General features: G+C 38.2%; 1 protein-coding gene, 1 non-coding gene and 1 pseudogene across 24 annotated transcripts in view; all 3 read right to left on the bottom strand.

Annotated features, from left to right (window-relative positions):
* PATJ (PATJ crumbs cell polarity complex component) overlaps positions 1-23,984 on the bottom strand; it is a 421,436-nt gene that overhangs the window by 303,410 nt on the left and 94,042 nt on the right. For all 23 annotated transcript variants that reach the window (XR_007061928.1, XM_011540462.4, XM_011540467.4 and 20 more), the window contains one exon: positions 4,267-4,476. Coding sequence is in view for 22 of the 23 variants with exons in the window: in XM_011540462.4 (XP_011538764.1) it covers positions 4,267-4,476 (210 nt within the window). In the remaining variant the exon portion in view is untranslated. The remainder of the gene's footprint in view (positions 1-4,266; positions 4,477-23,984) is intronic.
* RNU6-1177P (RNA, U6 small nuclear 1177, pseudogene) lies at positions 7,904-8,007 on the bottom strand (annotated as a pseudogene).
* MIR12132 (microRNA 12132) lies at positions 14,330-14,431 on the bottom strand. Its single transcript, NR_162146.1, has one exon. It is a non-coding gene; the product is annotated as a microRNA 12132 (primary transcript).

The following is a 23,984-nucleotide window of genomic DNA, read 5'->3' as shown; positions in this document are numbered from 1 at the left end:
TGAGGTTGAATAACTGGCACAAGGACACGTAGCCTTGCAAACCACATAACTAAGCAAAAACCCATAGCTGTCTGGCTCAAGAGTTTTATTGTCAGTTCTGCTCCATCACTTCTGAAGATATAATGCAGTTTTTAAAGTCATTTCAGCCAGGGCGTGGTGCCTCACATCTGTAGTTCCAGCACTTTGGGAGGCTGAGGCAGAAGCATCACTTCAGCCCAGGAGTTCAAGACCAGCCTGGGCAACATGGAGAGACCCCATCTCTATTTTTATGTTAAATAATAAAAATAAGTCATTTCATTCATTTTTGGGGTCTGATATATTTGAGGCTGCACTTATCAACCTGTCACCTAGGTTTTAAGCCTCTTTTTAGAAAAGAGCTAAGATGAAAATATATAACATGAAGTGTATAGATATATACATACTATAGCTATATAAATACAAGACTTAATACAAATAATTTGTTCTCATCACCATTATATATTCACAGTCTTTCTGCTCTACCCTGACTTGGGATCTGCTTATTCACATTCTCTGTCCCCACTTGCACTGTGGATTGAGTAAATGTTCAGTAAACATTACTTAATTAGGCCAGGCGCAGTGGCTCACACCTGTAATCCCAGCACTTTGGGAGGCCGAGGCGGGTGGATCACCTGAGGTCAGGAGATTGAGACCAACCTGCCCAGCCTGGAGAAACACTGTCTCTACTAAAAATACAAAAATTAGCTGGGCATGGTGGCGCATGCCTGTAATCTCAGCTACTCGGGAGGCTGAGGCAGAAGAATCACTTGAACCCAGGAGGCGGAGGTTGCGGTGAGCTGAGATCACGCCATTTGCACTCCAGCCTGGGCAACAAGAGTGAAACTCCATCTCAAAAAACAACAACAAAAAAAAATTAGTTAATTAGATAAGTGGCCGTCAATTTTACTATGAGAGAGAGAGAAGGGGAGAGAGAGAGGGAGAGAGAGAGAGAGAGACACCTCAGAGAAGATCCATGCCTGGTTCCTTGAATCACTATTTATAGCTCATGAGCAGTTTTCCCAGAAGACCCCAGATGTTAAAGGAAGCTTACTTAGTAGTTAAAAAGAAAAAAAATTCTTGAAATTGACCTTTCTCTCAATCCCTTCATTGGCCTCCCACTCCTAAGTATTCTTGGCAGCCTTGGACTCACTGAGGGAGGCCTGGGTGAAGTTCCACCCACAATCATTATGTTCCAAAACACTCTCAGAGTAATGCTCCAAGGTCCTTCCACCAGAAATAGCATGAGGATCCACACCCAGTTGCTACCAACTCGTTTTTGTTTTGTTTTGTTAAATGGCCCGAGACTTCCTAAAACTGCTTGAAGGTAAAGGCTCTGCTGTTGAAGTGCTCTAGGACACAAATAGTTTGGGATGTCCCCATGCAGCCACACTAATCTGGCAAATAACCATCAGGGAAAGTCTAGACAAAGTTCCTGCTACAACCCAAAACATTAAGAAGATGAGGTCCCATAAAAACATTAATAGTTTTCCTGTCCTTAATTTATCCAAAACACAAACCAAGCACCTCATGGCATCATCTGTTGACCACGGCAATACCCACACCAAATACACAAAAGGTCAAGAACTTACTTAGCTATGTGCTATATTCCACTTTGAAATATTTAAAGTGTCTGATAGATGTAATACACAGGCCAGAATAAAAAAGTAATACATGAAGACCACCTTTTGGTCTCCCATGCAAAAATACCATATGCTGTACATGAATCTATTTATATATGATTGATACAGTTTGTATATTTGTCTCTGCCAAAATCTTATATTGAATTTTAATCCCCAAAGCTAGAGGTGGGGCCTGGTGGGAGATGTTTGGGTGACAGGGGTGGATCCCTCATGGCTTGGTGCTGTCTTCGCGATGGTGAATGAATGAGTACTCATGTGATCCTGGTGGTTTAAAAGTGTGTGGCATGGCCAGCTGTGGTGGCTCACGCCTGTAATCTCAGCACTTTGGGAGGCCAAGGCAGGTGGATTGTTTGAGCTCAGGAGTTCAAGACCAGCCTGGCCAACATGGTGAAACCCTGTCTCTACTAAAAATACAAAAATTAGCTGAGCGTGGTGGTGAGCGCCTGAAGTCCCAGCTACTTGAAGGCCAAGGCAGAAGAATTGCTTGAACCTGGGAGATGGAGGTTGCAGTGAGCCGAGATTGCACCACTGCAGTCCAGCTTGGATGACGGAGTGAGGCTCTGTCTCCAAAAAGAAAAAAAAGTATGGCTCTGTGGCATCCCCCACCCCACTCCAACTCTCTCTCACTCCTGCTTTTGCCATACGAGTGCCTGCCCCCACTTTGTCTTCTGCCATGAGTAAAAGCTCCCAGAGGCCTCCCCAGAAGCAGATGCCACCATGCTTCCTGTACAGGCTGTAGAACTGTGAGCTAATTAAACCTCTTTCTTACAAATTGTCCAGTCTCAGGTATTTCTTCACAGCAATGCAAGAACAGCCTAATACAATGAACACATCTATCTATATTTACCTATCCATCTATCTATACATATGAGCACTTATAGTATGTTATTCGTATGTTAAGTTAAAATGTTTCATACATTAAAGAATTGGAGTTAAAAAAATACCTTCGGAATTCTCTAGTCTTATTCAGTCTTTTCAAAGATGAAAAAAATAGGCTTAGAGAAGTGGTATACCTATTGATCAAATTACTAGTACGATGTTTCTCAAAGTACAAAATTCTGCATCAGAATTACATAGGTGACCCATTGAAGAGGTAGATTCCTGAAGAGCATATCAGAATTACTAAATGAGAATCTCTGGGAGTAGAACCTGGGAAACTGCATTTTAACTACCTCTCAGGTGATTCTTATATATATTACATATCTTTAAGTTTGAAACCTACTGGGCTAACTCATAGCAAAGCCAGGGGGCAGAGCCCAGGTTTCTAGAAATCCAGACTAACAATTTATTACAACCAAGCTATCTGTTTCAGACATGCTGCATACAAACTAGGCAAGTGACAACATAGTAAGACAGGCATGTACAGCACTGTGGCTAAGAGCACAGGGTTTGAAGGTGCCCTGCTGGGTGCACATTACAACTCTGCCCCTTACTAGTTATAAGAACTTGGGTAAGTTACTCAATTCTCTGTGCCTCGATTGATTCATCTGTAATGAGGGTAACAAAAGGACTATTCTTAAAGTTGCTGTAAGGATTAGGTTAGTTAATAGTTAATAAGTGTAAAGGGCTTGAAAGAATGACATTTAGTAAGCACTTAATAATAATAAAACTGGCTGAAAATCATCATCATTAAGTTTTTGTTGTTGGTGGTGGTGGTGGTTTGTTTTTTGCATTAGAGGCCTCCAGAGCACCATAACTGTAATGTAGCCTTCAGTCATAAGCAGTAACCTGACCATTAGATAAAGCAACAAGATGACTTCAAGATGGTTTGACATTATAGGGGTTCTTGATGCTAGGAGTTACAAGGTGCTTTGATGGAGAGAAAAGCATATTAAACTCTCAGTGTTATATGGTTAAAATGCTATAGCTGCAAGGATTTCAACTTATCATACCATCTTGACACCATTCCCAAATGAAAGTTAAAATGGATACTTATTTTAATTTACATATAAGAATAGCCAGGTGCAATGGCTCACACCCCTAAAAAAGCACTTTGGGAGGCCAAGGCAGGCAGATTGCCTGAGCTCAGGACTTCAAGACCAGCCTGGCCAACATGGTGAAACCCCATCTCTACTAAAAATACAAAAAATTAGTAGCCAGGCACAGTGGCACATGCTAGTAATCCCAGCTACTTGAGAGGCTGAGGCAGGAGAATCGCTTGAACCCAGGAAGTGGAGGTTGCAGTGAGCCAAGATCGTGCCACTGCACTCCAGCCTGGATGACAGAGAGAGACTCTGTCTATAAAATAATAATAATAATAATTTACACATAAGAAATGTGCTGAGAGCTTAGAAGTCTGTGCTAAAAGCATAAAGATGAAAATAGTAGTAAGAGTGGTAGTAGTAGAACTAGCAACATTAGCAGCTAGTATTTATGTAATAATATGCTATGCACTTAATGAATATAACCTTTAAATCCCAAAACCCTATGAGGTAGACATTATTTTTTCTGATATTGTAAGTCAAGGACATTAAGAAACCTGCCCAAGGTCACACACATAGTAAACAGTAGAACAGAAATTCTTGGCCAGGTATATGTGTCTCCAAAATCCATGTTTTTAACTGTTGCACTATTATCACTTCCTATATTAACAAAATACAACACTTACCACCAAAGGCTTACAGATGCCAAGGTGTACTAGGCCTGGTGGCACAGCTTTCAATATTTCCACAGCTTCAGCAAGTGAGGTGTTGTCCAAACAGTATTCATTGACTGAGACCAGGCGGTCTCCAGGTAATAGTCCCCCACTTCTTTCTGCTACACCATCTGCTACCAGGGAGCGGATCACAATCACTGATCTTGTAGGATCTAAAGGGTCCTGTGAATCGAGCAAAGAAGAAGGATGAGTCCATGCACTGAAAATAAATATGCAGCCTTAGGACAGCTTGAGTTGACTGATGAATCTTATTTGACCACTTACTTCATGTGTCTGGCACTCTGGTGATAATCTTCTAAACAGGTAAAAATAAATTAAAATCTCACTCTAAGCCAAGTATGGTTGTACACCTCTGTATAATTCCAGCTTCTTGGGAGGCTGAGGTGGGAGGACTGCTTGAGCTCAAGAGTTTGAGATTAGCCTAGGCAATATAGCAAGACCTTGCTAGAAAAAGTTTTTGTAATTAAAAAAATTAAAAGGCCAGGTGCAGTGGCTCATGCCTGTAATCCCAGCACTTTGGGAGGCCAAGGCAGGAGGATTGCTTGAGCCCAGGATTCAAGACCAGCCTGGACAACATGACGAAATCCCATCTCCGCAAAATATACAAAAATTAGCCAGGTGTGGTAGTGTGTGTTTGTAGTCCGAACTACCAGGGAGGTGGAGCAGGGGGTGCTGAGGTGGAAGGATTGCTTCAGCCCAGGAAGTCAAGGCTGCAGTGAGCTGTGGTTCAGAGCTCACTGCAGAGCTGTGGTGACAGACCAAGACCCTGTCCCAAAAAATAAATAAATAAAACATCACGCAAATATCAGGTTGTATCAAGGTGAAAATATAATCTTAACAATTTCAGTGGCATGTCTGAGTGCCCAAAATATATAGATTTCCTGTTAAAATTTTTGGTGATTGATATTTGGCTGGACCATACGAGGTCTGGGAACAGCTGGGCAAGATTCTCTGACATTCTCAAGCACAGTCATATGATGGACCAAAGATAAGCCTGTCTGTTACTCCTCTAGAGCCGTAAGTAAGCTCCAAGAAAAGCATGAACGTAATCATAAATATAAAATGGGAAATGATACTCCGTTCTTATACCTTCACCAGTAGTACAGAATCCTCCTATAAAACCACACAAATCCAGAAAAGACATGGAAACCATGGACGATTCCACTGTATTTTAAAAAGTATATTTATAAATAATGTGACCTAAAATTATGATATAGTACCCTTAGGTCACAACTATTCCAATACACACTTAAATATGAATTTATGAACAAAAGCAACATACAGATCTTTCACCCGTTGGGAGAGCCCCATATTTCTTGATATTAAACACCGAGGACAACATTGACATTCAATACATCTGGTTAATGAAAACCAATTTATATCTCCACTACTGTTTTTTAATTTATTTAACCAACTGATATATAGCACTTACTATATGTTGGGCTTGACAATCACTAACTTATCTAATCCTTACATCTCCAGGATGTAGGCAAATTTATTGTCTGTGTTTTACAGATGACGAAACCGAGGCTCAGAAAGTTAAGGAAACTAGCCAATATCACCCAGCGTATATGTGGCATAGCCAGAATCCAACCAGGCAGCCTGGCTCTTAAGTCCTTACTCTTGACCACCTCACTCTGCAGCTTGCTCTGCATCATTAATGGTCAGAAGAAACGGGAAACAAAGAGTTGTAAATTGAGAAGAAAGAAATATTCATATGGCCATCTTATGATTGAGCAGAGTCTCTTAATTTGTCTTAATGGTGGAGGTGTATGGCACTATTACTGAACTTCTAACTTAGCAAGGGAGAGAAAAAATGACATCCCAATCACAGCAGCATTCACGTTGGTTTCTCTATGCTTCTCCCATTGTTTCATTATGCACATGCTGTTCCACAAGGCAACATATTGTAACCTGAGATTCTACTACTCTAGCCTCTCTTAAAACCTTCCAGAGAAAGTAGAGAAAAACTGCTAGGTTTTCTGTGGGAATTACAAAACTTTGGAATTAGCAAAGTAAGAACTTGCCAAGTTCCCGGCTATGTCTGTTTGAAGTGGCTGATGATTCTTTTGAAGTTTTCTGATCCAGTTTTCTATGCCTCTGTGTTTCAAACATCAGGGTTCATTTTCAAAGTACTGCATGGAATTTTAACCAAATATACCATATTTAAATCAACAAAGGCTACACAGCTAATTCCTTGAAGAATGCCTTCAAATGTAACTTATCTTGCTTTTTGCAACTAACCCTGCCTTTCTACCCCCGAGTCAAGAGACTCTTCAAAATTTTCTTACAGGCTCTGATGTAATATAACACCACATATTTATGAAGAGGATTAAAAGTAAAAAAGAGCCCAGGGAACTCACTAATAAAGTAGTGTTAAACTATAATTACACCAGTATTTTCAAGTAGAGGGAGCTATTGCATAGGAAGAGAACAGAAGAGAACCAAAAAGTACAGTGGCATATCAGCAGGCAATCGACGTGGTAATATAAAAGAGCTGTCTATTTTGTCACTGGCAACCATGAATCACAACACACTTTTCATCCTGAAATATGAAACCATTACATTTTAAGTTTGACACACTAATAAATAAGCTGTACAATTATTTCCTTCATTTAGGATGTCAGTTTTTGATGAAAGGCTTTTTTATTGGGGGGAGAAGGGAGACTACATAATAGCTTATTCCTCTCATGAACTGCCCAGCAGCTAACATTACTTCATATTAATAATTTCTACACTTCCTTAGAGAAAACTGCAACAGCAAAATATACCAAAAGCAAATAAATGGTTGCACCAAGTTGTTTGTGAACAATCTCTGCAGTTTCAGATAACACCAAAATTTAAAAATATTATTTTTAACCCAAATAGGTGAGGAGGTTTTCAAAATGCAACCCACTGAATTGATAATTTAGGAACATTCTAAAGGACGATTCACCAGAAGGAAATGGAAATAGACTTCTACCCTTGAAAGGTGAATATATTTTCCTTATTGCCAGAAAAGTCATTGTGAGCACTAATTTACACAAAGTGAGGCCTTCTTTAGACCTCAAACTAGTGACAGGAATGCTTTCTTACTAAAATGTATTCAGGTTTAGACCACTAGTTATGCTAAACACTAAATCCAATCTACCACCCCTTTTCCTGGACGACAGAACCCAAAGGCAGCTTCTTTGTCATTTGGGGGGCAGGGAGGGGACAAACTAGCTACCTCTGAAGATGCCCCATTATGTATAATCACTGCTTCATTTTTTATGATGACTTTTCTGCCTGTGATTTCCCACGTAGCTGAATGAAATCGCTTTAATGAGTAACAGTCATTTCCTTTCATTTCCTTTACATCACATGCAGCAGCCACCCTATGGAAAAACAGCAGCTGCTACTGCCTACTGAGGTGGCTGCTATTCTTGAGGCTTTGCTGCATAAAAATGCTCAAACACCAGCCTGACTCAGGCTGCTTCTCATCAGAAAGGTCCATTTTCTGAAAATACAATCTATGATATTATGTGCATGTTATAGCAAACAAATGTTATAGAGACACTTCTCAAAACCCTTACCCAACCCCCAGGCCCCCAGGCATATTTACATAGATAAATATATGAAGCGCTTCACAAATGTGCATGTTATTCTTGCACAAGGGTCGTGCTGATCTCTGTATCATTCCAATTTTAGTACATGTGCTGCCAATGTGCACACCCCTGATGGCACCTTGCTGAAATTATTTTAACTGTCTTCCTACTAAAAACAAAATCCCCATCAGTTTTTATCACCTTTCATCATAATTGTAAAATCTCTAATATTTCTTCTTTTGGTAAATAACACTGCAAGGAACATTGTGTTTAAGAATCAAGATGCCGCTTTAGACTAAATAGCCAATAGAGGGCACCAGAGACCAATCATAGAACATGAGAAACATGTACTATGGGAGCCATTCTCTTCTGAAGGAATTTTTTTCCTCTTTATTCAAAAGGCTTATATTATTATACACACTGTAACAGTGTACCATATGTTTGGTTCAGCCCATTTATTTCTGAAAGTTGTACCCTACACCTCTTTTTTTTTTTTTTTTTTTTTTAAGACAGAATCCCTCTCTGTCACCCAGGCTGGATTCTCATGCCTCAGCCACCTGAGTAGCTGATGTTACAGGTGTGTGCCGTCACTCCCAGCTAATTTTTCTATTTTTAGTAGAGATGGGGTTTTGCCATATTGGCTAGGCTGGTCTCGAACTCCTGGCCTCAAGTGATCCTCCCGCCTTGGCCTCCCTATATCCTCTGAGTGGCATCAGCATATACTCAAGCATTCCCTTCTCCCCCTCACCCCTCCATTGAGTTGCTCACTAAGGCATGTCAGTTCTTTTTATCTCAGCCTTTTATCTCTTCTGATTCTTCCTTTCCATTTCCACTGCCACAGCCTTGGTTCAGCTTCTCGTTACTTCTGAGCAGCTGCTACAGTTTCCTGATAAGTCTACCTGTCTCTAATCTTGCCCCCATGAGTCAATTTTCTAGAGAGATAATAGAACCATCTTTAAAAATAAAAAGGTGATCATAATTCCTCCTCTGCTTACAGTACTTCAGGGATACCTACTGCCTTCAAGATAAAGTCCTAACTCCTTTATTCTTCGTGGAAGGAAAATCCTTCAGAACTGCAGTTCTGTCTCGTCTCTCACTTTCCCCATACATATCACTGCCTGCTCCCGTTTGCCCAACACTTTATCCCAGGTATTGTGAAAGGCCTTGTCATGCTGCGTGGCTTAATGCAAACCATCCCCTCAGCCACGAACGCCCTCCCTGACCCACTGCCACTTGTCTAGAGTTTGCCCCAGAGTCAGCTCAAGTGTCTCCTCCAATGAGAAGCATTCCCTTACTCCCTGAAGACCCAAGCACTTCCTACTCTGTGATATCCCTAAACCAAAAAAGACCTTCAATTACAGCATTTATCATAATATATTTCCTTTACTATTTGACCTTCTAGAATTAGTTTGGTCTTCCTGTTAGATGTATCCACAGCTTGTTGCATTTTCTTCATTAAAATACTTTTTACATTTTACTGAAATTATTGTAAATTATTTCCTTTAAATTACTTCCTACTAAAAGTAAGCTTTATGAGACCAAGAATGTGTTTGCTTAGTTTTTGCTTGATTTTCAGGGCCTACTACAATGCTTGTCATGGAGAAGGCACTGAAGAGTAGTTAAAATGTTGAATGACTATCTATTTAGTTTGCGTCTTCCCACTGGACGGCAAGTACACCAAAAGCAAAAGCCACATCCCATCATATAGGAATAACAACAACAGCTGGTAACACTTACTAAGCTCTTGCCATACCAGGCACTGTTCTCAGAATCTTATTTATTTGAACCCATTTAATTCTCACACCATCATGAGGTAGGTATGTACCAACATTATCCCCACTTTCCTGGTGAGGAAATTGAGAAAAATTAAATAACTTAACCAAAGCACATGGCTGGTAAATGGCAGAGCCAGAAATTAAGCCAGCCAGTCAATTCCCAGAGTTTGTGCTTTTAGCCACACTAAGCAATGCTGCTTCTCTAACTTAAGTATTTGCTAAATGAATGAAATGTTGAAAGAAGACAAATATGTTAGAAGATATTTTTATCATCTTACCAAAGTGTATAAAACTGAATCCCCTAAATATTGCACTTGGCCACCAGAGGTTCATGTTTCAGTACCTAGCAGATGAAAAGTTAGAGGGTACAGAATGTGCAGCATGCCTGCATGTACAGGTAAAACATGCATTTGTTTGCCAAATTTCAATGTACAGTTACTTTCTCAAGAATCCATTCATTTGGTGGGCGTAAGAAGACTGTTACATGAACAGATTCAAACATGTGATAATCATTATGCCCAAATGGATGGGATTCAAAGTTTCTGATGTGTCTATAAAATGTATTATATGAATATTTGTGTACATTCCCAAAGATCAAAGAGACCAGATTTCACATAAGCTAAGGGAGAGTGCAAGAGCATCACCTAGAGCGGAGAGGTGGTTCAGCGGAAACAGGCTCTGTCACAGACAGAGACATCAACTCGAAGATGTGGAGAGCTCTAGCTGTGAAATTGCTCTAAAACCTAGATGACAAATCCAAGCTACCATGGCAAACTCAGTGAAAAGACACGAAGTAGAGAATGTGACATAAAGAGGAGACAGAAGGAATCAACAAGAAAAGTGTCATAGGTAATAAACTGGCAAATGCATCAATAAGAGGCATTTAGGAAATAAGAACAGGAGATATATACCAAGAATTGTTCTAATATTTAACATTTATATGCTTAGCAGTATTACCCCAATAAAGAAACACAAGGTGTAACAAAGACTTAACTACATTCAAAATGAAGAATATCTTTTGGGTTTGTTTGTTTTTAAAAAATTTATTCTGTATGTAACACTCAAACTTTTAAAGACATCAAATAACAGGATAGGAATTTAAAGACCACACAGCAGGATGGCAAAGAGATGGATCATAGTTTATTTCCTTTGATAATTTTGACTCTTACTGTCAACTGAGTGTATTACATATAAAGTTGGTCAACTAAACTCATGAGAGGAAATATGGTTAACTCATAGAGTCTCTTTTTTCTTTTTTGAGACAGGGTCTCACTCTGTCGCCCAGGCTTGAGTGCAGTGGCACAATCACGGCTCACTGCAGTCTCGACCTCCTGGGCTTAAGTGCTCCTCCCACCTCAGCCTCCTGAGTAGCTGGGACCACAAGTGTACACCACATTCAGCTAAATCGTTTTTAATTTTTGTAGAGATGTGGTCTCCCTGTGTTGCTCAGCAGATCTCAAACTTCTGGGCTAAGGGATCCTCCCACCTCAGCCTCCCAAAGTACTGGGATTACAGGCATGAGCCACTATGCCTGACCTAATTTATATAGTCTTAATGGTATGTTATTAAAGTTCTAGGCTGTGTTGTATAGTTCACCACACCAAAATACCTGCTCTACAGCTGTATTACAGAGGTCCTTCACAAGGATGAAATGATTCCAAGGAAGGACTAGCAAAACAACTTCAATCAACTCTGAAATAGAAAGTACTCTACAAGTGAAAAGAAACAATCTACCAACCAACAAGTTCAATGCTGTACCACATGTCACTACAGAACTAGGCTTTCAGCTTCATTCCACAGATATGTATTTTTATTTCAGTAAGAGAAAGTATGTTTCAAAGATAATTTTAAAGGGACTACACACAAATTTCTGGACAACATGAATAGTTAGCTCTGTAATATTGGATAAGAGAATTATTCCAACTTAATAATGGTCAACTGAGGAAACTATGAAACAGCAGGTAGCCAGATATTGGCTTCTTGAAAAGTATACTCTTAAATGTGGCCATTATTATTTGAACTAAGGAGTATTAAGTTAAAATCTAAATTAATTAACAGCTAAATTAATCTTCAAAGCAACATCTCAAGGAAGTTGCTAAAATAGAGAATGCAGAAAGAAACCATTAAGTTTAAAAGGGAGACAGCTGGCCGGGCATAGTGTAATCCCAGCAATTTGGGAGGCCAAGGGGGTAGGATCGCTTGAGTCCAGGAGGTCAAGACCACCCTGGGCAATACAGTGAGACTTTGTCTCTAAAAAACATTAAAAATAAATAAATAAAAGGGAGACAACTATTTCATTCTGGAGGTAGGCAAAAGGAGGAACTGGGTACAAAGAGGCAAAGGAAAGGTTCTTTTATACACACGTACACTCACACACAGATTTGTATACCTTAAGGAAAAAGGAAAACAGTGATCGGCACAAGCTCGGTGGCACAGCTAGCATGAATTAAAATTTCCGTTGTGAGTAATGTCAGAAAACAAGAATTCCAAGATTTTTAAAAAGCAGAAAAGATATATAAGAGACAGACAGAATGAAGGCAGATATTCAGCCCATTAGTGTTAAGATGAGTGTGGATTAGAAGAGACAAGTTTTGAGACCTAGCCCGGTCCCCACCTGGATGTGTAGAGTTTCACGAGTGTCTTCGTTTCTCTGAGTCAGTTTCCTCACAAACATAAAATGAAAAAGTTGGATACATGAGTTATGATCCCTTCTTTCAACTCTAAAATCCTATAACTTAATTTGACAGAGTATCTTGACTCAAATTTGTCCCTAGTTTCTATCCAAACATTCACAAAACCACTATAAAAAGTAACGAAAGACAGAAGTTAATTCAAAACACTGCATCAGCAATGAAATTGATGTACATTTTGGTCACAAAACTCAAAAAGGGTATTTACTATAAAAAAAAACAACAAAATACATATGACAGCATGTCTCCTTTTTTGATAAGATATATCTTAAAACACCTCTTCTTTTTCCTTTGCCATTTTCAGAGCAACAGAAGCCATGTCAGGAACCATTAGCTGAATTAAAATCACGAGAACAGTTCTGGTTTAAAACAATAGGGTATAATTAATCATTTCAAAAGACTGTCTTCTGATTTGACCAATAAGCTAAGCATTTACTTTTGGGAAAGAGAAATAAATGTGTTTATAGTGAATGCAAAGTAATAACTAATTGATTCTAATGAATAATGAGCAAGCTATCTTATCTAACATCTAACTCCATTTTTAACTATTTTATAATATAGCAAAGTATTACACTAATCATACCAATTACCACAGCACCATCATGTTCAAAATAAGTGCCCACAAAGTACATTCAGTCCACTCAAGATAGATTAAACTGATACGGTTCCTGGCTCCTTGTGTCTTATTACTTCCTAAACACTATTAGGCAGTAAGAATAGATTTTTCCACACATCAGACATAGAACTAAACAGTCCCAGAGCTGCACAGTAAGCACAGCACAGAAAGCAATAAAAAGCAAAATGGAAGAGAAGTGGACAAAGGAACCTGCTAAAAGATCAAAATATATTCTTAAGAGGAACAAAAAGTACATAAGCTTGCACATACTTTTATCCTATAAAGCTTAGTACTTTAAAAACCTATTTTAAGCACCCCAATATTTTAAATGGTTTAAGCAGGAGTCCCATGGAAATCACTTCTTGAAGACTATTCCTTTCTCATAACCCTTCTGGTCTCCTGTTGAATAACTTCTTTCTGTATTAGATACATTCCTTGGATGTTTCATCTCTTGAAAATTTTATGTTATGCTGGAATTGTTTACATGGTTACCAGTCAGTCCTGGTCCAGGACTTTTGCTAGTTGTAAGGAAAACAAAACAAATCATACAACTATCCTTTATCTAAAAGCCCCATCATCTTGCTGAAATGCCTAAGGTTCCACCAGGCAGACAGTAGTACCCAAGCACTAAAATTACATTAGTTGTAGCTGGGTGCAGTGGCTCATGCCTGTAATCCCAGCACTTTGGGAGGCCAAGGCGGGCAGATCACTTGAGACAAGGAGTTCGAGGCCAGCCCGGCCAACATGGCGAAAACCCGTCTCTACTAAAAATACAAAAACGTTAGCCAGGCTTGGTGGTGCGCACCTGTAATCCCAGCTACTCGCGAGGCTGAGGCAGGAGAATTCCTTGAACCCAGGAGGTGCAGGTTGCAGTGAGCCGAGATAGCACCACTGTACTCCAGCCTGGGCAACAGAATGAGAATCCCTCTCAAAAAATAACAAAAATTACATTAGTTGAAATGTGAATATACTTAACACTACTAAACTATTCATTTAAAAAGTTATGATGGTAAATTTTATGTTAAGTGTACCTTACAATTTTTATAAATGTAGAATATGAATTTATAAATAAGAAATAGTCCATTATCTTCCAGAAAAAAGTTGTATTAGTTGAAACTGTATTATGATGCAGGGAAAGTACAGACATATAAAACTTAAAAGCTTTGCAAATACTGATTTTGGAATTTAATTTTCCAAACAAATCACTGTCAACTTAACCTAAGCACAAATACTAGCCGAATGATAGTGATCAAGTTGTTTAATCATGAAGATTTGAGTTTCTCATTTGTAAATGGAAATAACAATAGTACAGATTTCACAGTTATTAAAAGCATGTAATGTGCTTAGTCCATAGAAATCGCTTCATAGTAATAACTTCTTTTCCATCATAATTCTCACAGTAATAATAACATTATTATTATATTAACATTACTATTATTACTATGAGAATTATGATGGAAAAGATGTTAAAAGGACATATGGGTTTGAGGAGTTTCCATCCGATTTACTGCCTTCTAAATTCAACTGAGCATATGTAACTTAGACCAACAGTGCTATCATCTGCTAAACCCCTCACCTCGTGGTGTTACATTCAAATATTAAAATATGAAAACACAGGGTTGAATCTATGCCCTCCAGATATGCAGATCTATAACCTCTTGAATGCATAAAGAAAGGCTCAGAACAGCATGGCATCCTCAAACTTCATTCTCCCTGAGCAGACACTGTAAGATTGGAGCCATCTCTAGACTGGGAGATTGTCTGACAACACAGCCACGTCAAAGTCACAGGATGCCCTTCATTCTTTAGAAAAGATTCTGCAGTGTTTTGCTCTTTTTAATCCTTGAAAGGTCAACCAGTGTTGATATACAGCACACAATATGTAGAAATAAAACTTTGCTAACTTTGAAACTGTACAGGAAAAAGGCCAAGGAGTCCTGCTAGGAAATGCAAGGTAAAGCATACAGTTTATACTCTCGGGTGACAAAAAATAAATAAATAAATAAAAATTATGTCAGTGAAGAGCTTTGGCCAGGTGAGAGGAGTAAAGGCAAGGGATCATAAGGCTTCAAGAATAATCTGAAGAAAAGCTTTTAAAATTATATTAAGTATGTTTCTCTAGAATGACAAAATAACTAGAAATTTCTATCACCTTTCAGTTGAGCCATAATTATGAAGAATTAGTATTGTTTTTGGTCTACAGACTATACCTGACAAAACCACAGACTCAGGAGCTCAGCTCCATTTACTAACTGGGTGGTCATGAGTGAACTCCTTAACCTCAGCATCAGTTTTCCTTATCCATAAAACAAGGATGATTACAGGACCTACAGCCTGGAGGTTGTAGAAGATTTTATCAGTCAATATACCTAAAGTGTTTTAAACAATTCCTGACACAGAGTACAGTAGTCCCCCCTTATCTATAAGGAATACGTTCGAAGACCCCCAGCAGATACCTGAAACCACAGATAGTACCAAGTCCTATATATATTATGATTGTTCCCTTACATACTTACCTGTTGTATTAGTCCATTTTCACACTGCTCTAAAGAACTACCTGAGACTGGGTAATTTGTAAAAGAAAGGAGGTTTAATTAACTCACAGTTTCGCATGGCTGGGGGGCACCTCAGGAAACTCACAATCATGGTGTAACGCAAAGGGGAAGCAAGGCACATCTTACACAGCAGCAGGAGAGAGAGAGAATGAGGGGGGAGCTTCCACACACTTTTAAACCATCAGATCTTGTGAGAACTCACTCATTATCATAAGAACAGCATGGGGGAAACCATCCCCATGATCCAATTACCTCCCACCAGGTCCCTCCCCTGACACATGGGGATTATAATTTGAGATGAGATTTGGGTAGAGACACAGAGGCAAACCGTATCACCTATGATAACGGTTAATTTATAAATTAGGCACAGTAAGAGATTAATAACAATAATAAAAAAAGAACAAGTATAACAATACACGGTAATAAAATTTATGTGAATATGGTCTCTCTCAAAAATAGCTTAATATTTTCAGACTGCAGTTGACAGTGGGTAATTGATGCCATGGAAAGGGAAACCTCAAAAAAGAGGGAACTGTAAGCAGTACGTAATTGTTAGCTATTAAACCATGTGGCCATGTTTTCCAAATAAAAAATCAGAACACAAAGTTTTCAAAGGATTTTTCATTAAAATAAATAAAATTTGAAAGTTAAGGAAAATATTAAGCAATTTAGTTACAAAAGAAAATAAAAACATGAAATCAGGACTAACTTATTAATTCTGGGTTATTCACTGTGGCTGGAATGTCCAATCCCTTACTGTCCACACAGCAGACCTCAATTCCCCCTGGGGCCTCTCTGGATCCCAAGAAATAACACTCAGAGAGTCTTTTAGTCTTACTTTCACCATTGCTAAAATTATAACATATTGTACAGAGCTGTTGCCAAGTCTGTTCTCTTTATTCTGTTGTAATATATGCTTATTTGTCCGCTGTCTGTCTACTCCAAATTGAATTTAAACTCCATGAGGACAGACTTCATCTAATTTGTTCACTGCTAGCTCCCCAATGCCTAGAACAATACCTGGAAGAGGAGATGCTCAGCAAATATTTATTATATATAGGAGTATACCTTTTCATTTTTATAGTCTCCATACTGGCTCGTATCTTTTAAAGGTGAGAATGAATAACAAGCACAACAAATCTGTACCCAGATTCTATCTTTGAAAATCTTCATTATCATTATCATCATTTTTCAGTAAATATAATAGGAACACTGATTATTTTGAGTTAAGAAAAGCATAGGCATTTATATGCATTTTTTTTTTTTTTTTGAGACCTGATCTCACTCTGTCACCCAGGCTGAAGTGCAGTGGTGTGATCGCAGCTCACTGCAGCCTCTGAACTCCTGGACTCAAGCCTCCCGAGTAGCTGGGACTACAGGTGCACGCCACCATGCCTGACTAAGTTTTTTTGGTTTTGTAGAGACAGTTTCACTGTGTTGCCCAGGCTGGTCTTGAACTCTTGGCCTCAAGTAATCCTCCTGCCTCAGCCTCCCAGTGTTGGGATTACAGGCATGAGCCACCACACCCAGCCTATATTCATCTTTTTATTTAGTCCTTGTAATCTTATAAAGCAAATATTACTTCTATTTTAGATATTATCATTTTAGTAAACAGAGAATAAGAAAGACTAACAAGCTTGCCAAAGTCCCAAGAGTATATCCAGAATGCAAACCTGGACGTTTGGGAGCTTTCTGACTCGTAAGCTAGTCCTCTCAACCATACCATATGTTCAGTGCTGTACTGATAAATGTAATATCAGATTAAAATAAAATACAGAGGAAAGGGCTGAAAGGGAAACTTGAGCCCTAGAAATGGTGTGTAAAAATCAGCCAGTCAAGTCAATCTGCTTTCAAGCATCATTCACAGACTAGATGTTTGGTACCAGAAGGAGGCAGCACCACTTCCTGGCACTCACTGGGAAAGCCTGGCTTTTCTGGATCACTGCCTGCTCCAAATGACACTCACAAACAAGGTGGAGGAGCACAAATCATCACACCTTGAACAAACAGATTTCCAATACCTACTTGTTAATCTGATTCAATCACTCTGGCACACTCTAGGAAGGGCTATGACTTTATCTACTACCATGGTTCTTAATACTGACATCACACTCAACTGGGAACTCCAGAACACATCCATTGCTACAGGTAGAAGACTGGTGATGAAACACCTCTGGGGACCGAGTTTCTTCTTTCGATTAACTGTTCCTATTCCTTTTTTTTTTTAATAGCTGTTCTGTTTTTTAATTACATGAGGGACAGATGCATAGCCAGGCTGATACCCACTCACTTCCTGGATATCTTGAGCACTTTGCAGGAGAGATGTGATTACCAGTTATGGCAGTAAATCTGAGCACCTTTATGGCCACATTTTAGCTCTCCATGGCCATTCCAAAAACACTAATATTTATAGTTTGGCCACGTCTGAAACACTCACTAAAGGTAATACAGTAGATTCACCATCTTCAGGATCCTCTCCTCCTCAACAATGCCTTCAAGTATGAAGCAGAAACTGTCATGGATAAACACGTGTTAAAAGGAAAGCTACCCTATGAGAAAGCTGACAAGCATTTGCTGCTTGCCTGTTATTCTCTTTCGCCCCCACTAGACACAATGGGATTTTTTGCCACATTCGTATTCCAGAGCGATGAAATCCCTGCAAAGTTCAACATCAGGCCTGACTTAAGATCTTTGAGGCCTCCTGCTAACTTTATCCCCCTGCAGCTGCCTCACTAAGGCAAGCTTTTGATCTGTACTATCTGGATTTCAAGCTGATATACACACAGCCTCTTTGATCTCTTATTAAGTGGCTTCTGGTCTCCTGATGCCTTTAGTCTTGCTGCACTGAGGTTTTTGGAAGTCAGTCGTCATCCTGAGCACACTACAAACTGCACACACCAGGAGTGGGCTCCCTTCATTCACCCACTTTGCAGGCTTGAAAAGCAAAACTTAAGCCATGAGAGAATTTCCCCAGTAGCCACAATCAATCCACTCCATGAGCACACCACTAAGAATTATTTTTCAAATGAAGCAGCTTAAAATGATTTAAGGGATACAGAACTTTCCCATAGAGGGAAAGGAAGCAAATCCTCTGTGAAAAGAAATCTTCAGCCCAGTTGGCACTGGAACTTACAGTACTTTGATGTTAATAAAAATAAATGTGGATAGGAGTCAGGGATGGGCAAAAAGTAGCCTTTATCAGTTCCCCTAAGTTCCGTTAAGCAAAAAGTGACCTTTAAATGCAGCTGTGTGGTTTGTTCAACAGTAAGGCATATGATATATCTGCAAGACTACAGATACTGCCATTAGTAGCAGATTGACTGCATTTTGCTTAGTACCAATATCTTATATGGGTGACGTGGACCCAAAGAGCTCCCAAAAAAAAAAAAGGCAAGAGAAAAAAAAAACCTAGATGTCAGTGGCCATGTTATAAGATCCCTTGAGCATTAATGTGAAACTGTATAATAACTTATAGTACATGCCTATCCTTTATATTTTAGATTCTGGAAATAATATGGTTACATACCTGACTTTATAGTGTTACCACTCTATATACTATTAATGTGTTAAAATTATATCAATACCTATCAAATGCTAAATCCTACATTCTGTAAACTGATTAGCTAAGATGAACATGAAGACAGTAGGCTTGCACAGGCTATTGAAAACTATATACTGATATTAGCATTTACTCAAATTCTCAAATCTCTTGGTAAAAATTAAAGTCCTAATGCCCTCCCCCCAACCCCACCACTTTAAGCTAAATTCTCTAATAAACAAAAGTAAAACAAGATTAAAATTTGTGGAAGAAGAAATAAATAAATAAAATTAAGTGGAAGAAATAGAAATAGAGTTTGGGGCACTAATATCATAGTCTGAATATAAACACTTTATGCCCACTTAGCTACAAAGGCCAATAAATTAATTACCGCCATATATAAAGTTGAAACAAAATTGATAGTTATATATTGCTATCACTTAATCTGTCCACATCATAGAAAACCATTAGCAAATTCATGAATTACACACCTGCTTACACTATCTTCCATGAGAATTATCGGAATAAAGAAATAACTCTACATAAGAAAGGATCCATTTTAAGTGGTCTAAATATATTTGAGTCTCACAAACTTAAATGCAAGCTATTTGGTAAATATGTACCAAAATTTAAAAGATACAGTATGCTCTTCTGATGAGTAATTCCACTTCTAGGAATTTATCACCTACCTATTACAAGATTTATTCCCACCTTTTAACAAAAGAGTATCACAAAAATATCCACTAAAGCCTTACTTAAAATGCCCACCAACTGGGTACAGGAGGCTGATGAAATAAATTATTGTACATCAACAATAAAAATACTATGTAGTCATTAAAAAGAGGTAGCTCTATAAGTACCAAAATGAAAGAGCATATAATTTTAAGAAAAAAAATACAGAGCCTTTAAAGTGTGTATGATATAATCCATTTATATGTCAAAGTTTTTTTAAAATTAAATAAGTACTATTACTTATATAACCATGTATATATAAAATGTTTCTGGAAGGATGGACAAGAAAAACCAAGGTTTTTTACCTGGAAGAAGTAAGGGATTATGGTCAGAGGTAGATTTACTTGTCACAGGATATCTTTATACACCTTTGAATTTTTCTGCCATATGTATGTATTACCTATTTTTAAAACATTTTCAATGTGCTCAGAAAGTCATTCTGTTGTGCATAGGGTAAGGAAAAAGACAACTTAAAGACATACATGAAATGTATACAATCCCGTCCTACAACTTTTATAAATCTTTTAAAAAGAGAATTCTAACAGAGTTAATAGGCAGTCAAAACTACACACTAGATTTTTTGCACAAATACTAAGGCATACTATATTCAAGACTCAGTAACACTGCAATATTTTATATTTTGGTTTTATAACCCATTTCCTCTTTTAAGAAAAATTAATAACTGTCAATTTTTATAGGGAGAAATATTTCCACTATTCTTTTTAATGAGTCGCCATTTGACTTTGGTTTCGAGCAAATTTTTAAAGCATTACTAACAGTATTTACATATGAATCACCTCCCAATGGCTATGTTATTATGATTTCTATTTTTATCTCTCTCAGACTTTGAGAGAGATAAAAATAGTGTTTCAAAAATATCAGCTTTGGCAAAAATTGAGTCACTCAAGAGGGGAGAGGAATGAGGAATAGGATGTAGGAGGGAGGAGAATTATTGGTTAATAAATTTTATCTTCTAAATCACTGAAATTCAAAAAGTACCAAGGATGGCAATATCATGGCTAATGTTCAAAAATTAGCTAATGTCAAACATTTCCAGTGAATTATAATCATGAGGGGTTATTCAAAGTTCAACATAAATCAAAACACCAGAAAATATCTACTTGCCATGTTTAATTTATAAGGTCAACTGAAGGTAAAATCCATACAGTTCTAATTTTTTTTCAAGCTTTTTGGTAGAAATTAAAAATTACAGACTCTTGGACTACCTAATCATTGTTTCATTATTGAACATTAACCCACAACAAATTACTTGCACTAGTTTAGGATTCTTAAATTTGCAATGATGGTCTTCTGAAGCAATAAAACTAGCTCTTACACAATGCATATGAGCACACTATATTAATTTTTAATACCTGCTAAACTTTCATATAAGCATGAAAAATGAGAATACTATCTAGTAGCTTAGTTTTTAAGATATGAAATTTTTCACAAGCTGAAAAAACAGAAAGGTCTTCTGTAATAAGTTTACTGTATGGATGCCCTATAATAAAATGCACATGGAAATAGCACTCACAAAGGAAAGAGCAGTATAGTATGATGGTTAAAGGCATAGACCTGGTGGAGGAGTCGGCGGCAGAAGAAAAAGAAAGAAAAAAAAAGACCTGGGGCCCAACTGCTTCAGTTCTACCATATACTACCTGTATGAATTGGACTAATTACTTAAGTTTTCTGTGCCTCAGTTTCTTCACTTCTAAAATGACAACAATAAGAGTATCTCTTTCATATGGTTCATGTGAGGAATACATAGCCTAATACATGTAAAGCAATTAGAACATTACCTGGCACTCAGTAAACATTCAGTAAATGTTACCTAACATTGTTATTAATACTAGTGGGAGTATCAGTAATCTTCCACGGAGACCATAGTCTAAGGAATAAAGACATTACACATAAATACTAGGGAAAGAAGACAGAGATAACTAAGGTATAATATAAAAACCTCACCTACAAACTGGCAAGAAATTACAGTATAAAAACTTATAACCAAGTTTCTGAAGAGTTTTGTTGCTTAGAAACAGAGTACTCAGTCGGCCGGGCGCAGTGGCTCACGCCTGTAATCCCAGCACTTTGGGAGGCCAAGGCAGGTGGATCACGAGGTCAGGAGATCGAGACCATCCTGGCTAACACGGTGAAACCCCGTCTCTACTAAAAATACAAAAAAAAAAAAAAAAAAAAAATTAGCCAGGCGTGGTAGCAGGTGCCTGTAGTCCCAGCTACTCAGGAGGCTGAGGCAGGAGAATGGCGTGAACCCGGGAGGTGGAGCTTGCAGTGAGCTGAGATCGCGCCACTGCACTCCAGCCTGGGCGACTGAGCAAGACTCCATCTCAAAAAAAAAAAAGAAACAGAGTACTCAGTCAAGCCATCATATTCATGCTCTTGACAAATTACACGCATTGTTTGCCATGACACAATCCTATAAGGCATGACAATGGAGATCAGTGAATCTCCTAATACGGCACACATACAGAGTGGGATTTTAACTAGCCACTACATGAAGTGGCTAGGCGTATTTGAGACTAACAAATATTCTACCTCTGTTCAAATAATAGCCAACAAAGCTACTACCACTGTACCCTAAGAGCTAATAAAGAAACTTATAACCTAATCACATTTATTGTCTTCCCTGTTGCTTTCTCTTTTGTCTTTGACCCAATCTAATTTAAAATGTCTTTAATGAAATGAATTTTCACACTTTGTACTTTGGCCATATGACTCAGTTGTAGAACTGTGTATCAGACTCAGCTGATCATTTCACGTATAAAGGCATACCTCTTTTCTCTGCTCAGTTACACAACTTTCATCAATATTCTGAGTCACTGACCGGTCCAGAGAGCTACCCTATTGTTCTATAGACTAATTCAAGCTCCTTTATCTGCTCACTCATCTTTCCCTTTTTTTTTTTTTTTTTTAAGACAGAGTCTCACTCTGTCTCCCAGGCTGGAGTGCAGTGGCGCAATCTCAGCTCACCGTAACCTCCGCCTCCCAGGCTCAAAGGATTCTACTGCCTCAGCCTCCTGAGTAGCTAGGATTACAGGCATGCACCACCACGCCTGGCTAATTTTTGTATTTTTTAGTACAGACAGGGTGTCACCATGTTGGCCAGGCTGGTCTCAAACTTCTGGCCTCAAGCAATCTGCCCACTTTGGCTTCCCAAAGTGCTGGGATTACAGGTGTGAGCCACTGCGCCTGGTCTCTTTTCCTAAAGTTCAGTTCAATTTATATAAAACGCAAACTTCTGGCCAATAATCCACAATTGGGTAATTCACATATGGCTCATCAAGAATTGGCTGCATTTTAGAATACAATTTTAAGATTAAATTTAGACTTCACTAAACAAAGGCATCTACTTATTAATTTTTGTAATCTAACTAGAGAGTTAAAGAATTGATAGAGTACAAACATTATAGTGTGGTGCCATCTTTGAGGACAGTATCAAAAACTTTTGTGTTTATTTTCTAAACTGAATAATTGTTAATATATTTCCATAATAACATAACATTTCCTATTTCCTTACACACTAATTCATTTAAACCACACAATCCTTTGTGCTAGACATTACTATCTCCATTTTATAAATTTGGAGGTACATAAACACCAATGAAATAGATTAATGTAATTTTGTTAGGCTCTTCAAAAAGTTCTTGTTCTAGAGAAAAGGCTGTTCATGAGAAAAGTGGTTAAACTGAAATGAGATATTCCAAAGTAAATTTTCAATCTCTACAATAATGCTAAGTAAGCCCTTTACAACGTAAAAGTTCTCTCCCTCTACCAATACTTTCTCTCTGTAGCTAAATGTTTCTGCAGTACTTTTTGTTCTGAACATGCTAGGCCTGGCAGGGCAAGAATTTGCCTTGGCCCTACTCAGCTACCTAATAAATTCATACAGGACATGCTGAATGCAATAATAGCCAGGGACGTGGCCTTTCATGGCTTTTGCTAAACCCTTTGCCTGGCCTTGCAAAAAATATTCTTGAACTTTAGAATTTATTACCTAATTACAACAAGGGATGGTATAACCGATTAATTAACTTGCCCAAAACCAAATTTGAGTTGTGTTTACCTGTCATCTAAATGTCATGGTAGATAACAGTTCTAGGTACCACTGACAAATGGTGAAAAATGTGCTGTACACATCTGTAAGTACACTTAAGACTGACTTAAGAAAAGCATCCAAGTT

This window comes from Homo sapiens, chromosome 1, assembly GCF_000001405.40.
Source record: "Homo sapiens chromosome 1, GRCh38.p14 Primary Assembly".
NCBI classification, from domain to species: domain Eukaryota; kingdom Metazoa; phylum Chordata; class Mammalia; order Primates; family Hominidae; genus Homo; species Homo sapiens.
Note: the sequence above shows the minus strand (reverse complement) of the source record. Positions and strands in the feature narration are given on the sequence as shown.